Source organism: Homo sapiens, chromosome 11 (genome assembly GCF_000001405.40).
Source record: "Homo sapiens chromosome 11, GRCh38.p14 Primary Assembly".
Classification (NCBI taxonomy): Eukaryota; Metazoa; Chordata; class Mammalia; order Primates; family Hominidae; genus Homo; species Homo sapiens.
In genome coordinates this window covers 133,690,956-133,706,922 of record NC_000011.10, presented here as the reverse complement: position 1 = coordinate 133,706,922, position 15,967 = coordinate 133,690,956, and positions in this window count along the sequence as shown.

Genomic DNA, 15,967 nt, shown 5'->3' with positions numbered 1-15,967 from the left:
CTTTCCCTTCCCCGTTCCCTTTCTGTCCCCCCTTCCCTTTCCTTTTCCCCTTTCCCTTTCCCTTCCCCTTCCCCTTCCCTTCCCTTCCCTTCCCTTCCCTTCCCTTCCCTTCCCTTCCCTTCCCCTCACTTCCCTTCCCCTGCCCTTTCTCTTTCCCTTCCCACTCTTCTGCCCAGGGGTGCAATCTGCCGCCTTGATCTCCCAGGGTCAAGTGATCCTCCTATCTCAGCCTCCCAAGTAGCTGGGACTACAGGCATGTGCCACCATGCCCAGTTAATATTTTAATTCTTTTTGTAGAGATGGGATCTTGCTATATTGCCCAGGATGGTCTCAAACTCCTGGGCTTGAGTGATCCTCCTGCATTGGCCTCCCAAAGTGTTGGGATTACCGGCATGAGTCATCACACTTGTTTTCCCAGGCCCCCCTGTAAAGCAGTTTTCTAAAGAGTAGAAATGGAGAGAGCAGATTGTGGAGGGATAGAGTGGAAATTGCCTTCTCAGAGATGCTGCACCCTGGAGACTGAGAGGACACGACTTTGTAAACTGTAACTGGAGGTGTTCTCGCTAAAGAAATGCAGCGTGGTAGAGTGACCTTGACTTGGGAAGAAATGAGGGTCAGTTATGGGCCGGTTTTCTCTTCTTCTGAAGATTAATTCTAGAGATTGATAATGTAGGAAGACAGCAGTTCCATTTAGAGAAGGAGACAGACATACAAGCAGGTAGGCAGGCTCTTCCAAGGTGCTTGTTCTAGTACTGAGTGCCAAGGTTGTGGTGGACTCAGATGGACCAAGTCATCTGCCAGCACTGGCAGTTGGAGAGGTGAGGTCCATCTGTCGGAGCACGTACCCTTGCCACATGGATACACATCTCTTTATCCAAGCAGTGAGGGTCAGGGATGCATGCTTTGCAGAACAGTGATTACATGGCAAACCTGCCATTCGGACAAGTAGGGTTAAAATGGGCCCTGCCCAAAATGGCCAAGTCAAAATGAGTAGGTGGCCTCAGGGATCCCTAAGGTGCCTTGATGTTCTTTCTGAGATTCTCTTTCTAACCCAGAGGTAGATAAGGGCTCATGAGGTAAACTGTTCTTTAAGTAGTGATGCCTGAAGACTGATCACTGACCTGATGGCATAACAATCAGGGCATGGAGAGCAGCTAGACCCCAGAGGAGGAAATTCAAGATGTAAACATGCTGGGCTTCCTGACTGCCTATGTGCACACCTCCACCCCCATTCCAAGAGAGTTCTCTGAGCCAATACCGCTTGGATAGAGAAGACGGTGACATTTCACTATTCAGCGTATGTGGAACAAGTGAAAGATAAGACAATGATTGTGGCGGGGGGATCTGAGGTAGGCCTGTTCAATCGTTTCTCCCCAGCAGCTTGTAAGGGCGCTATGAGAACCCAGGCTCAGCAGGCTAAGCTGTTCTCCACCCACCCCAAGAGGTGGCTGTGGGGGCAACAGACAGGCGGGAGGGGGAAGCAGGGACAGCAGGGTTCAGACAGAGTTTGCCTTGACGTGACACTCCCCCAGAGCCAAGACCTGGGGGATGTTTCAGAGGTCCTGGTTTCCTATTGGACTGACAGACACATTTGCTGAGCTGCAGACATTTAAAGCTCCTGTCTCTTTTCTCCTCAGAGCTCCAGCGGGTTTTCTCTCACTCTGCATACAACATGCATACTAATTGGAATCTCTCCCTGAGAAGAAGCCTTCTTCCTGACAGATCCTTTAAGAATAGCTGTAGGTTTTGAAGAAACCCAAGATGGCATTGCCTGTAATTATAAAGTAATTGGTGTAATTGAGAGCTCAGGGTCTCATGCAAATCATCCTCCCATTTCTAACTTTACATCAAGACTATTTTTATTTTTAAATGAAAAAAGAAATCATGTGCATTTGGGCATGGCACTTGTGCATCTCCGCCTGGGCCCCTATGTGTGCAAAATACTAGAGCAGAAGTGGCGGGATTGGCCATGCATGGAAGAGAAAACCACTTCTGGTCCTTTGTGTGTCTTACAGAAAATCCCCAGACTTCTCTCAGCCTTGGTTTTCTTCATCTATGGAACAGGGAGTAACCTCATATTGTTGTGAGAATTAGAATAATACAGATGCACGAGCATTGTAAACTAGAAAGCGCACTCACAAACATGGGGACTTCCCTCTTGGGACCTTCTTTTCTGCTCTTTAGGAGTTGGAGTTTGGTACAGTGGGAAGAACCATGCTCTGAAGCAAGAGACGAAGTTGCTCTTGCACTTAGAAACTGGATCTGTGACGCTAGTTGTTCTTTCGTGAGATCAGGTGGGGGTCTGGTGGTTGACTGATATGGTTGATGGGGACACACACTGAAAAGTATCACATGCCGTTGAACTGCCTGTTTAACCAGTGATCTGACCAGGCCTGTATTTTCTCTTCACCAAGATCCTTTGTGAGGAGTTGTGGTGGCTGCTATGATTTTACCTGATGCAGGAGAGGGTTAAATCTTCCAATATGAGACTCCCCACAACCCTGATCAGGAGAGATGTCGGTTTCTTATGGCTGCTCTAACAAATAACCACAGACTTGATGGCGAAAAGCAATAGAAGTTTATTCTCTTACAGCTCTGGAGGCCAGAAATTAAAAACCCTTCAGGTAACACTCCCCTGCCTCTTCCAGCTTCCTTGGCCACATCGCTCTGATCCCTGCCTCTCTCTTCATACAGCCTCCTCCCTGTGTCTGCTATTTCCCTCCCTCTCTCTCCTTCCCTCTCCCTCCATATTTCTTATAAAAACACTTGTGATGGTATTTAGGCCCACCTCCCCGCTCCAGATAACCCAGGGTATTTCTATCATCTCAAGATTCCTAATTACATCTCATCTGCAAAAAAACATTTCCCAAAACTCATGACATTTACAAGTTCCAGGGAATAGGACTTGGTCTATTTAGGGGACCATTATTCAGTTGACTGCAAGAGTGAAGTCTCCCTGAATCTAGGCTGCCCAGGTTGGAGTCACAGCTCCACTACTTTGTAACTTTGTGACCTTGGGAGAGCTACTTCATCTCTTTGTGTCTCGGTTTCCTCATCTGTAAAATAAGGAAAATAATAATGCTGACCTAATAGGATAGTTGTGAGAGTTAAATAATTTAATATCTATAAAGCACTTGGAAAAGGTCTCAGCTCATAGTAAGTTCTCTCAAAATGTTCACTATTATTCTTTCTAGTTTTCCCTTAATACCTGGTTGTAGGTTTGTCATGGTTTCATCTAAACTCTTCTAGAACTTAATTGTGTTTGCCCTGCACAAACTTTTGGTGTAAATTACTTTTCATTTGCTCAAAAAATACTTTTTTGTGTTTCAAGAGGTATCACTGGAAAGACATCCCATATTCCTGGCTTGGAAGACTTACATTGTTAAGATGACAATACCACCTAGAGCCTCCTACAGATCCAATGCAACCCCTATCAGCATCCCAATGAGGTTGTTTTTAGAAATAGATAAATATATCCTAAAATTCATATGGGATCTCAAAGACCCCCGAATAGTCAAAACAGTCTTGAAAACAAAGACATAGTTGGAGGATTCACATTTCCTGATTTAGCAACTCACCACTATTTTGTTTGTACAGTTTGTTTTGATAAAATAATCAACACTGTGGCCCTGGCATAAGACATGGAACAATGGAATTGAATCGTGAGCCAAGAAATAACCTCACATCTATGGTCAAATGATTTTTTTTCACAAGGGTGACAAGAGCATTTAAGGGGAAAAGAATAGTGTTTTCAACAAATGGTGTTGGGAAAACCAGCTATCCACATGCAAAAGAATGAACTTGGACTCTTACCTTAGACCATATATAAAAATTAACTTATAATGGATTAAAGATCTAACTGTAAGAACTGAAACTGTAAAACTTTTAGAAGAAAACACAGAAAAGCTTCATGACATTGGATCCGGCAATTCTTGGATATGGCAGCAAAAGCACAGGCAACAAAAGAAAAGAAAGACAAACTGGGCTTCACAAAAATTAAAAAAGACTCTTTTGTGTTTCAAACGACACCATTAAGAGAGTGAAAAGGCAACCCTCAGAATGGCAGAAAATATTTGCCAATCATAAATCTGATAAAGGATTAACATCCAGAATATATAAAAGATTTCTACAACTCAAAAGTGAAAAAAGAACCATATTAAAAAATGGGCAAACAACTTGCACAGACTTTATCCTAGGAAGATGCACAGATGGCCAATAAGCCCATGAAAAGATGCTCAGCCTCACCAGTCATTGGAGGGATGCCATTTAAAGCCAAAATGAGATACCACTTCACTCCCATTAAGAGGGCTACCGTTAACAACAACAAAAACAGAAGAAAAACAATGAAAAAACAAATATTGGCTAGAATGTGGGGAAACTGGAATCCTTGTATGTTGCTGGTGGGGATGTCGAATGGTATAGCCCCTGTGGATAGCAATATGGCAGCTCCTCAAAAAATTAAACGTGAATACGAAATTATTTAATGGGTGAGGAGTTTCAGTTTAGGGGTGTTGAATTATCCTTGAGATGGGTGGTGGTGATGGTTGCATAACAATATAAATGTACTTAATGCCATTGAATTATACACTTAAAAATGGTTAAAATAATAAGATTTGTATTATGTGTTTTTACTACAATTAAAAAAAATGGTGCTTAAGTTTCCGTTTTTCCCCTGTGGATCTGTAAGACCTTACAGTGGACCTGAGGGGACATCCTGGTGCAGCATACACCACAGACCATGTAAGAGCTCCCCAGCCTGCAGCCCGGTCTTTCTGGTGAGGAAATGATGCCTTACAAGGTCTTGGTTGGGAAGAGATGATGACCCAGCTGTTTTTTTCTTTAAATAAAAGTTGTTTTTATTATTATTATATGATTATTGTTTTTTTAAAAAATTAATTGATTGAATTGGCAAGAACTGTTTGTATACATTTATGGGGTCAGGAGGAGATTGTAGGGCTGAGGTCAGGGCTGTGCCCTGGAAGAGGGCATAAAGATGAGGTGGTAAGCGATGTTCCTGTGATGGGGAAGTGCTGGGGGAGACCCTGCGGGGCTAAGGGCTCTGAAACAAGGTCTGCCTTCTGCCACCCTGAGCTCTCACAAAACAGTCAAGATGTCATTGGTGTCTCTTATATGTGCTGGGCATGGTACAAGGGGGAAGATGAATTTCTTCACGGAGCTTACAGGCTTGTCTGGGAGGTGAGGCATAAATATCTAAACAAAGGAAACAATAGCTCCAGAAAACAAAAGCTAAGCTGGTATGAAGAACCGTGAAGTCAATTGAAGAGACGCTCACTGCTCAGGATGCTCAGAGCAGGCTTGCTCACTCGAGGCAGGTGGCTGTAGGGGACAGGATTGCCTGGTGGTCACTGAGGTCTGTGGTGTGGAGAGGCTTGGAGCTGGGCTCCTACTCAAGTGTTGCCCATTGTTGTTGACCTGGGGCCAGTTTTTTTAACCTCCTAGGCCTCTGTATTCTCACCTGTAAAATGGGGTACTGTTATTTCCCCCATATGAGTTGTTGTGAGGGTGCAGTGTAAGTAAAGTGTGTAGAGTCCTCAGCACAATACCAGGCACATTTAGTACACTCTCACTGTTAGTGCAGGGGAGGCGGTGTTGGAGTTGGGTCTTGAAGGAGAAGAGGGAAAGAGGATGGATGAATGGCAATAAGGCATAGGTAGCGGGGTGTGTTTGAGGGCAGAAGTGATGAGAGTGGCTGGAGTAAAAGGCTTTTTTCTCTCTCAGTTTTCCTTTCCCCCAGAGAGAAGACTAGACTTCTGGTGTGCCAGCCACCAGGCTGATGAGGAAATGTGAGCCTGGCTCTGAGGTGGGAGGAAGGCGTGGGCTGTGGGAAGAGGCTCGCTGCTTTTTCTGGGGTCCTGTTCCCCTTTGGCCAATACTCTGAGGGTCACCCAGGACTAGAATCCTGAACATTTAGTCTTGATGCCAATGTACAAACTGGCTACAGGAATCAACATCCCACATTCGTGTGTAATACACCATTCTTGAAAAGTACTTTTCAATCATTTATTAGTTCATAAGAAATTTAATGAGAAGTGGGAAACATAATTTCTGCCTCATAGAATGAGATGAGATTGTTTGCAGAATATTTATGATCTTCAAATGGCGTAATACATGCAATAATGTTACCTTGCAATAATGAACTTTTATTATTCAGTAGCTATCAGAGGTTACTCTATGAGAAAATGGTAAATGACTAAAACTTAATTTTAAAGGGAGGAAAATGAACCAATATTATCTCGTATGCCTTGTTTAGTTACTTTTGCATACATTTTCCTGAAATTGTAAGTGTCTTGTGTTATGATTATCTGAACTTATCTTATTTTTCTAATTCAGATCTATTTAGGTAATTAATTGATCTGTGTAGTAAATGTCACAGACGAATATGAGTCTTCAGTTTTCTCAATGAAAACAGATTGAGCTTCTGGCTTAGTCTGTTTTCTGTTACTTATAACAGAATACCTGAAACTGGGCAATTTATAAAGAAATGGAACCTATTTCTTTATTTCTGGAAGCTGAGTAGTCCAAGGTTGAGGGGCCACACCTGGCGAGAGTCTTCTTGCTATGGGGGACCTCTGCAGAGTCCTGAGGTGGCACAGGGCGTCACATGGGGAGGGGGCTGAGCTAGCTCAGGACTCCTCTTCTTATGAAGCCACCAGTTCCACTCCTGTGATAATCCATTAATCCATGGATAGATTAATTCATTCGTGAGGACAGAACCCTTATGACTCAATCACCTCTTAAAGGCCCCACCACTCAGTACTGCCACACTGGGGATTCAATTTCAACATGAAGTTTGAAGGGAAAAAATATTTGAGTCTTAGCACCTGCTCAATGAGACTGGGAATTTGATTAACATTCCTCAGTAGTTTTTGTCTTGTTTTTTCCTGCTAAGATTCCTTCCAAGATACAATTCTGTGATGGTCTGCTTCTGGTCCATGAAGGGCCAAAGGCCTTCCTAACCCTCATGGCTCAATCAGACACAGAAACCATGGTGTGGAGGTGCCTCCAAGGGAATCAGAGGGAGCACATCTCTGGTGCCTGCTCCATGCCTTTTTCCGCTGCTTTCTCTCTCTTTTAGTCTTTGCTTCTTCAGCCTCCTTTCTAATGTTTGTTTGCTCTCTTCCCTCCTGCTACGTCTCTAGCCCTTCAGAGATACCTGTGTCATACAGTGCATGCTGGCTTAGCCACACGCAGGGTGATAGAGGGGCTGGGCAGGCCTGGCATCTGTGTGGGTTCTCGGGCCTTCTCCCTCTGTTTCCTTTCCTCCCAGATTCTCTGCTGCAGGCTGGGTTGCACCAGCTATAGTCAAAGAAGCTCTCTAATGCCTCATTCATTTGTTACTCAACAGATATTTGAGTACCTACTATGTGTCAGATGTATACCTACTATGTATAGGGACATGGCATTGAACGAAATAAGCTCCTGTGCTTACAGAGCTTAGCTTCTCATGAGGACACAGACAACAAACAAGTAAATGGCTGGTGAATATATGGACTCCTCAATGCTTATGAGTACTTTAAGAAAAACTAAAGCACCGAGAGTGATAGCATGGCCGGAAAGGGCCTTTGTGGTGACATTGACGTTTGAGCAGCAACCTGAATATCATGAGGAAGACGGGCACATAGATCTCCATGTGACCAGCATTGTAGACAGAGGGGACAGGAGCTTCGAAGGCCTGAGGCCAGAGGCTGTTGGTGTGTTTGAGGAGCAGAGAATGTTCCAGATGGTCTGGAGAAGAGGGAGGAGGAGGAAATGCCAGATGATGTAGAAGCTTTTTGACTGACTGATGGTCTCTACCTTTTTGGCAGAGTTGAGCTGAAAGTTCATCTTTCTTTTAAGGGAGACCCTTCAACTGATGTCTTTCCATCAGCATTTCAATATTTTTCTTGGAGTACAAGGAGTGTAGAGTAGATATCTATTGCATTTGCCACCTGATATGCATTGCCTGTTCTTTGACAACTGTATTCTGCTCTCCCTCTGTAGAGCTTACCTCTTCCCCTAAATGAGCCTGGGCATTCAGAGTGGCTAAGCATGCCACTGACACCTCCTGCAATCACCACATCACATTCCTTTGGCAGCTAGACTGGATGGGGAGCCACAGGGCCTGATCTGAGCCCATGAGATACCATGAGACTTTTGCCAGGCATACTGGAAAGGAGGTTTGCTTTTTCTCACCAATTAAATGCCACGAGAATGCAGGATGTGGAATAGGTGCCACCATCTTGAATCCATACAGGGGAGCCTGTCTGAGAATGGAGCCCCCACTACAGGAACTGCAGCTGAGATAGTGAGATATGGAGTCCTGGGGACATAATCTGAGGCCTTGAATCAAGCCTTACTTGGAACCAGGAATGTATGTACCTTGAATTTTCTGTAAGCCAATAAATTCGATGATTGCTTCAGCCAGCTTGAGTTGGGTGAAAAAAAAGTTTGTTTTTTTTTGATCACTTGCAACAAGAGGAGCTCTACCTGACACAGGTGACACAAGATGGCATAGGGTGGGGATGAAGACCAGAAGCCTGGATTCAAAACCTGCCCTTGACCTTGGGCCAGGTCTTAGACCTATCTAGGCATACATTTCCTCATCTGCATAATACAAGTAATACTAGTATCTTATTGTTGGGAAAATTCATTGAATATATATAACTTCGGAAGTACCCATCATAAGTGCTATGGAAATGTCTGCTGCTGTTGTAATTATTTTTTTTCCTTTTTGCGAAATAAGGTTTCTGAAGCTAGACTGTATTGAGTGACTTACCCTAGTCACACAGGAAGTCAAAGTTAGAGTGGAAATTAGGCACCAGAATGCTCAAGGGGTGGCCTTTGGCAGTTACTCACCTACCCCAGAAGGCAGTTTGAGTGCCTGCCACATTCCAAGCACTCTATCATGCTGCTAGGATGCAGAAAAAGATGGCAGATTCTGTGAGAACCAGGGCTTATATCTCAATATTGTGTTTCCCCTCAGTTCAATGACAGGGCTCTTTGCCCAGGGAGCGATGGGGTGATTACTCAGTGGTGTTGACTTACCTTCCCTGACAGCTCAGCATTCCAGGGAGGGAAGGCATTTTCTGAAGAGGGTTTATTTGGAGAATCAGTTACCTACACAGTGAATGTGGGCCCCACTCCCAGGGCCAGGGTGCTCTCTCTTGGCCTGGTATCACCTCTGCCCTGCAGGGTGGCAGAGTCAGCAGACGGAGGCTCGGAGCTGCCTTCCTTCTCCCCGGCTTCCCCAGGCATCTGTTTCAGCAACTTGCTCTTAGTCTCATGATAAATTCATTACCAGAAAATGAAGCTGGAGTTTCCTGGTGACATAAAATATTGATGAGCGAAATAAGGACTAAGATAAATTATCAAATGTTACTTGCAGGCCCGGCTGCATTCTGTTCTGCCTGGTCTGCATACATTTGTTCTTCTCTCACCCCTTTCGATTTGTTTGGCTGGGGTTTTGTCCTTTTAATAGGAAGCATATTGGAACACCAGTGAAGTGCTCCAACCTCAACGTCACACCAGAGGGGGAAAAATAGACATGTCTCCTGGTTACTGTCAAAACTATGAAACCCAATCCTGCCACTTCACAACCTTCTGGCAGGTTCTTGGCATCCTCAAGATAGCATGAAAAACACATTGCTTCCCTGCTCAGAAGCTGCTAATGGCTTAGAATTGCTGTAGAATAAAATATAAACGCCTTAGAATGTCATTCAAGGCCCTCTATGGTTCCGTCCTAGCTTGCCTTTTCTGTCTATTCCCCCTCTGTGTTCCCAGGGCCAACACAGTTCAGTACACTTAGACTTTCGAATTCTCCAAAAACAGCATCGGTATCCAAGCAGCTGTGCTAAGTTTCTTGCCTTGAAGTGTCCCTCCTCAACTTCCGTGATGATTGAAATCTTGCCATTCCCTCAAGGACCAGCTCCGTTCACAAAATCCTCTATGATATTCTCCTACTCAGAATTAATTCACCAAAGGTAAATGTTGGTGAAAGCATTGCAAATTCAGTGCTTTTCCTCATTGCTAGTGATGGTAGGAATGGTGTGTTTACAGAGGAATGTAGCGATAGTTTTCACAGTGCTTAAATAAGTGCACAACTTTCAAGTCAGCAATTCCACGTCTGAGAATTTGTTGTAAGAAAACAATCAAAGTTGTAAAAATTAATTTGAGTATGAGGCCATTCATCATAGTGTTCTTTAGTGAAATATTGGAAAGAACAGAAAAGCCCACAAGTAGGAAATTGTTAAATAAATTGTGATACATCTGTATGATAGAATGACAGTTATCTACCCCAAAATCATGGTGCACAGAACAGTTGATGGTTTAGAAAAATGTCCACGATGTTTTTGTAAGTGAAAGAAATAGGATATAAAACTGTGTGAAGTATGGCGGGGATGGGGGAGCTGTTTGAGCTTAGAGAAAACTTTGGAAGCATATGCACCAAAATGTTGGGTTGTGGGACTCTGGGTAATTTTTAGACCATTTTCTCTTACAAGTCCACCCAACAAAGTCCTCCTAATGTCCATAACTTGCTTCTCATCTCCTTCACTTGAAACTAGCCCCCGACCCCTGCCTTTGCTCCCATGGTAGAAGAGTGCTTCAGATAATCATCCTCCATAGGCTTTAACTCTGCACATCTGCCTCCATGCTCTGATCCCCAGTTAAACTCATTCATTTGCTCTCATCTTTTGACCTCCTTTTTATACTCTCATGGTAGCGGTGGCTTTCCTCCTAAACTCTCCAAGTCCCAGGCATAAGCCATGGCTCTGCACATGTGGTGCATGGCCTCAGTAAAGGTCTGATCAACACCGGGTTCTCCAAAGTTACTTTCCAGAGTTTTACGACTAACCACATGAGATCATCTCTACTATTTTTAAGGCCTATAAGGATGTGGTGGGGAATGGTTTCCAGCAGGGGTTTTCAGCCATCTTCTCTGACATGTATATATCCCAGACATTTATGTGTATGTGTGTGTATTTATTAGAAGGATTTGGCTTATGAAGGCTGCAGTCAGCAAGCTGGAGACCAGCAGGCTCAAAACCCAAGAAGAGCTAAGATTCCAGTTTGAGTCTGAAGGCAGGAACAGGCCAGTGTCCCAGATGAAGGCAGTTGCATTGAGAGTCTACTCTTGTTTGGGGGCAGGTTAACCTTTTCTGTTCAGACCTTCAACGGGTTGGATGAGGCCCACCCACAGTGGGGAGGGCCATCTGCTTTACTCAGTCTACAGATTTAAATGTTCATCTCATCCAGAAACAGCCCACACAGACACACCCAGGAAAATGTTTGACCAAATATCTGCATACTTTGTAGCTCAGCTGAGTCAACATCCTGGGAATCCTCCCAGAGGTTTCAAGGCCAGTTGCTGAAAGATGGCCTGTTGGCCACAGGTGATAGACACTGACCAATGTCATCCTTTTCTCTCACTGCTCCCCACCCTTTGGTGTGTCCAGAGCCCTGGGTAAGAGCAGATGCTTTATCCAGGAGTCACAGGACGTCAGAGGCATTGCAACAGGCATAGGCCCAGAGAAACTGAGGACCTTGTTCAAGGCTGCATGTCTTCTAAGCAGCAGAGCTGGGACCTGGACCTGGAACCTGGATATCATACTGCCCTGGTGTTTGTCCTTACAGTGGGGAGGACAGGATGGAGGAAAACTAGTCCTCCTGAGTCCTGGAAAGGAGCACACCTCATTGCACCTCTTGACTGCAGACTGTCATGTTCTCAGATTTCCTGGCTCCATTGTACTCCCTGACACATGGGCACAGCTCTCCCTCCAAGGGAAGCTCTGATGCTGTGTCGAGTTGTGTGGAACAAAATCAGTTAGCAAATCCTTGTGAAAGCTTTCTGAAAATGGGAAGTACAGACCCCACACCCTGGCAAGGAATGCTTCCTGTCCCTTGTGAGGGCCTGAGGCCTGTGAAGCCACTGGCTTCCGGGCAGGGATGGGGACCCAAGGCTCCCCTGGCCAGTCCTTGCAGGGAAGGACTCAGGACACCGAGAGCCCTCTTTGAGCTTTCAGTCTGGGCTATTCTGCCCATTGCTGCAGGGTCACTTCCTGGCTCACCAATCCTTTTGTTTCCATGACTTACTCTCTCCTTCTGGCTCTGTGTCCAGCTCCCCCTACGGTTCCATGTTCAGTAACTCTGAAGGGCTGGGCCTGGTTCATCCTGTGATACTGTATATCTCTTTGTTGGGTCCTCACTTCTAAACAGAGAACAGAGAAGACTGAGAAGATTGAATGTGGGGCCAGGAGCACAACCAAATCTCAGTGCCCCTAAAGTCCACTTGTACTAAAAAAATGTGGATGACTAGAGATCATGGTTTTTGGTCTCAGTGACTTGGAAAGACTTGTATAGCTAGAGATTTTGTGCATTGGGGCTTTTGCAGTTTTCCTTGCTGTTGTTCTTGAACTCTTGGTAAAGCTGCTAAATGTCCTGTTTAGCATTTCTGAGGACGCAGGTTTTACCTGCAAGTCTTACATGCAGTGCATATTCCTTCTGCCTTGTACTCCCCAGGGCTCCGCCCTCCCCATAATTCCTTCAGTTGGAAACAGAGGCACCTCCACAGCTTAAGAGCCCAGGCCTATCAGAGCAGAGTGCCCTTGCATAGGCCCCACAGCCCCTCATATACTTACCTGTTCCAGGTGCAAGGGGTGATACTGGGATCACCAGATGGGTATACAGAAAATGTAGGATGGAGTAGATCAGAACATTTTGGAGCTTTTCAGGACACAAAACCGGAATCAAATCCTAACTCTATCACTTGCTAGCTGAAGGCCCAGCATGGCATCTGGAACACAGGTATTCAGGAATTGTCAGTTTCCAGTAGTGGTAGAAAGATTCTTGAGGCTCTTGGAGAGCTGGGGGCAACAGTGGTTAGGTGTCTTCCATCAGCAGTGAGCTCGGGGAGGACAGCAGTTGGGGCAGGGAAGAGCGACGGCAAGGGGTGCGCCAGTCAAGGTGAGAATCAGGTCCTTGGGTCTCATGTTCCAGCGGAATGTCCACCACTGTCCTGCTAGGGGCTTGTCAAGCCAAGGCTGCGGCCCTTTCTCCAACTCTCCTGGAGATCAAGGGCCTGTGCCATCACACAGACAAGGAGCCCCCAGCTCTGCCACAATGGGAGAGTTTTTTTTATTTCACAGGTGAGAGGCTGGAGACTAGGATGGTAAGAGATCTGCCAGAGTCCACCCAGGTGGGTTTGTAATTCCAAACCCCACATATTTCATAAACTCATCCCAGTTTTGCAACTTTCTGTATGGCCCTGTGTGAGTCTCCGTGTCTCAGTGTCTCTTACACAAAATGGGGAAAATGACCGCATTTCCTCCCCACCATGATGGAAGGTCAGTGAACCTCCAGCAGAGAAACCCTGTGAGAAGGTTGATTTACTGCCCTTTTTAGGATCCTCAAAACTGCTGTTTTGGAATTTCTTCTGCCTCACTTCCCCTCTTGAAGTTCAGTGGCTGAAGTGTGCCGTTCCTGACCCTTAAAATAGGCCAGGAATGATGCAGGTGGCTGTGGCGGAGTGCGTGGATGCTGTCAGAGCCTGGAGGGGCAGACACGAATGGGTGCTTATCTTGGGTGACCTTTCTTCACAAGCAGACACAGCTCTTGTGGGCCGTAACATGCTGCGTTCCATGTGCAGGGAACCGAGGCTGGGCCGGACTGGCTGGGCCCTTGGCCTGCAGGCAGAGCTCTTTCTGGAGCAGGCATTCTGACCTGCGTGCAGATCTATTGTTTTTGAGGATGGCAGCACAGGGCATTAGGAGAGAGGAATAAACAGCTGGAAAATGGCCTAAATCTTTTCCTGCTAAGCCAGGGTGGGGGCGGGGGGCGGGAGGTGGGAAATGATTTAATTTAACAAATTGTTGGATTCTTAGCTGTCCAGCAGCACAATTATGTCCTGCCATCCACGATCGGGGTGGCCTTGGTTTCAGGTTCTATTTCAGGGCCGTTGGTGAGTCTTCACAGTCAAGTCTCTGAAACCTCCGGAGCCTCGGTTTCCACAAATTCAAATGGAAATCATCATGTCAGGGATGTTATAAAACTGGTAAGTTGATGAATGAAGAAATATTCATAAACTGTAGGCTGTGGATTGGACAGAGGTGGCTGTCATTCCAGTCTTTGACGTGCCTGTATATATGTAAAGTGACACCCAGAGAGGAGCTGCTCCCCGCAAAGAGGTGTGGCTAAACGTGTGATGGTGGCACTGGCTCTTCCTGTGTTGTGCACACAACTCGGGTTTTCCACTTTTAAGATAGCTGTTGCTACTCACAGCATCTTTCCCTTTTTGGAAGCTCCCTATCTCATCTCCATCAGCCCTGAGCACTGAGAGCCACTACAGTTCTGATGGGCTGTGTGAGGCTGGCTGGACAACAGCAGCTTTCCTCTGCTGCTGCCGTCAGAGTGTGTGTGTGTGTGTGTGTGTGTGGTGTGTGTGTATTTATGACAATTTCACTGAGGTATGACTCACATAGCATAACATTCACCCTTTTAAAGTGTAAAGTATATTCGTAACATATTGTACAATCATCACCACTATCTAATTCCAGAACATTTTATCACCTTTAAAAGAAACCTCATCCTCACTAACAATCACAGCCTATTCCTTCTTCTCTCAGCCTCTGGGAATCACGAATCTATTTTCTCTTGCATGGATTTGCCTCTTCCACACATTTCACATGCATGTAGTCATACAATATGTGGCCTCAGTGTCTGACTTCTTCCACTCAGCATAGTGTGCTCAGGGTTCATCCATGCTATAGCATGGATCAGTTCTTCACTGCCTTTAATGACCAATAAAATGTCATAGCATGTATCAGTGCTTAACTGCCTTTTATGCCATAACGTGTATGGATATGACACATTTTTTTCTGTTCTTTCATCAGTTGAGCATTTGGGTTGTTTCCACATTTGCTATTCTGAATAATGCTGCTATAAACATTTTGTACAGGTTTTTGTGTGGGTATGTTTTAAATTCTCTTGGGTATCTACCTAGAAGGGGAATTGCTGGGTCATACGGTAACTCTGTGCTTGTCTTTTTGAGGAACTGCCAAATTGCTTTCCAAAGTGGCTACACCATTTTACATTACCATTAACAATGTACAAGATTTCCAATTTCTTCACATCGTCACCAACTCTTGTTATTATCTGACTTTTTGATTCTAACCACCCAAATTGGTGTAAACTTTTTATTTAGATTTTTCTAGTGACTAATGATGTTAAGCATATTTTAATGTATTATTAGCATTTGCCTCTCTTCTTTGGAGGAATGTCTTTTCAAATCTTTTGCCCATCTTAAAATTAGATTGTCTTTTTATTGTTGAAATATGATAGTTCTTGATATATCCTGTGTGTAAGATCCTTATCAAATATCTGACTTGCAAATATCTCTCATTTTGTGAGTTTTTTTAAACTTTCTCGATGGAACCATTTGAAGTCCCCAAATTTTAAAATTTTGGTTAAGTCCAATTCATTTTTTCTTTACTTGCTTGTGCTTTTGGTGTCATAGCTAAGCAACCATTATCTAATCCAAGGTAATTATGCTTTCTCTGAAAATTTTTATACTTTTTCTCTTAGATGTAAGTCTTTGATCCACTTTGAAATTAAAAAAAATTTTTTTTGCATATGGTTTAAGGCAGGGACCCAACTTTGCATGTGGATATTCAGTTGTCCTTGTAACACTTGTTGAAAAAAAAGTTTTGCCCCCAGTGAATTGTCTTGGCATCTTTGACATAAGTCATTTGACCACAGTGTAGGAATTTATTTCTGGATATATTTCAATTCCATTGATCTATATGACTATTCTTATGCCATAGCATAATGTCTTCATTACCATAGTTTTGTGAACAAGAAGTGTGAGTCCTCAACTTTTTTGTTGCCTTTAAAGGTAGTTTCGGCTATTTTGAGTTCCTTACATTTTCATATGAATTTTAGGATCAGTTTGTCAGTTTATTTAAAAAAGGCAGCT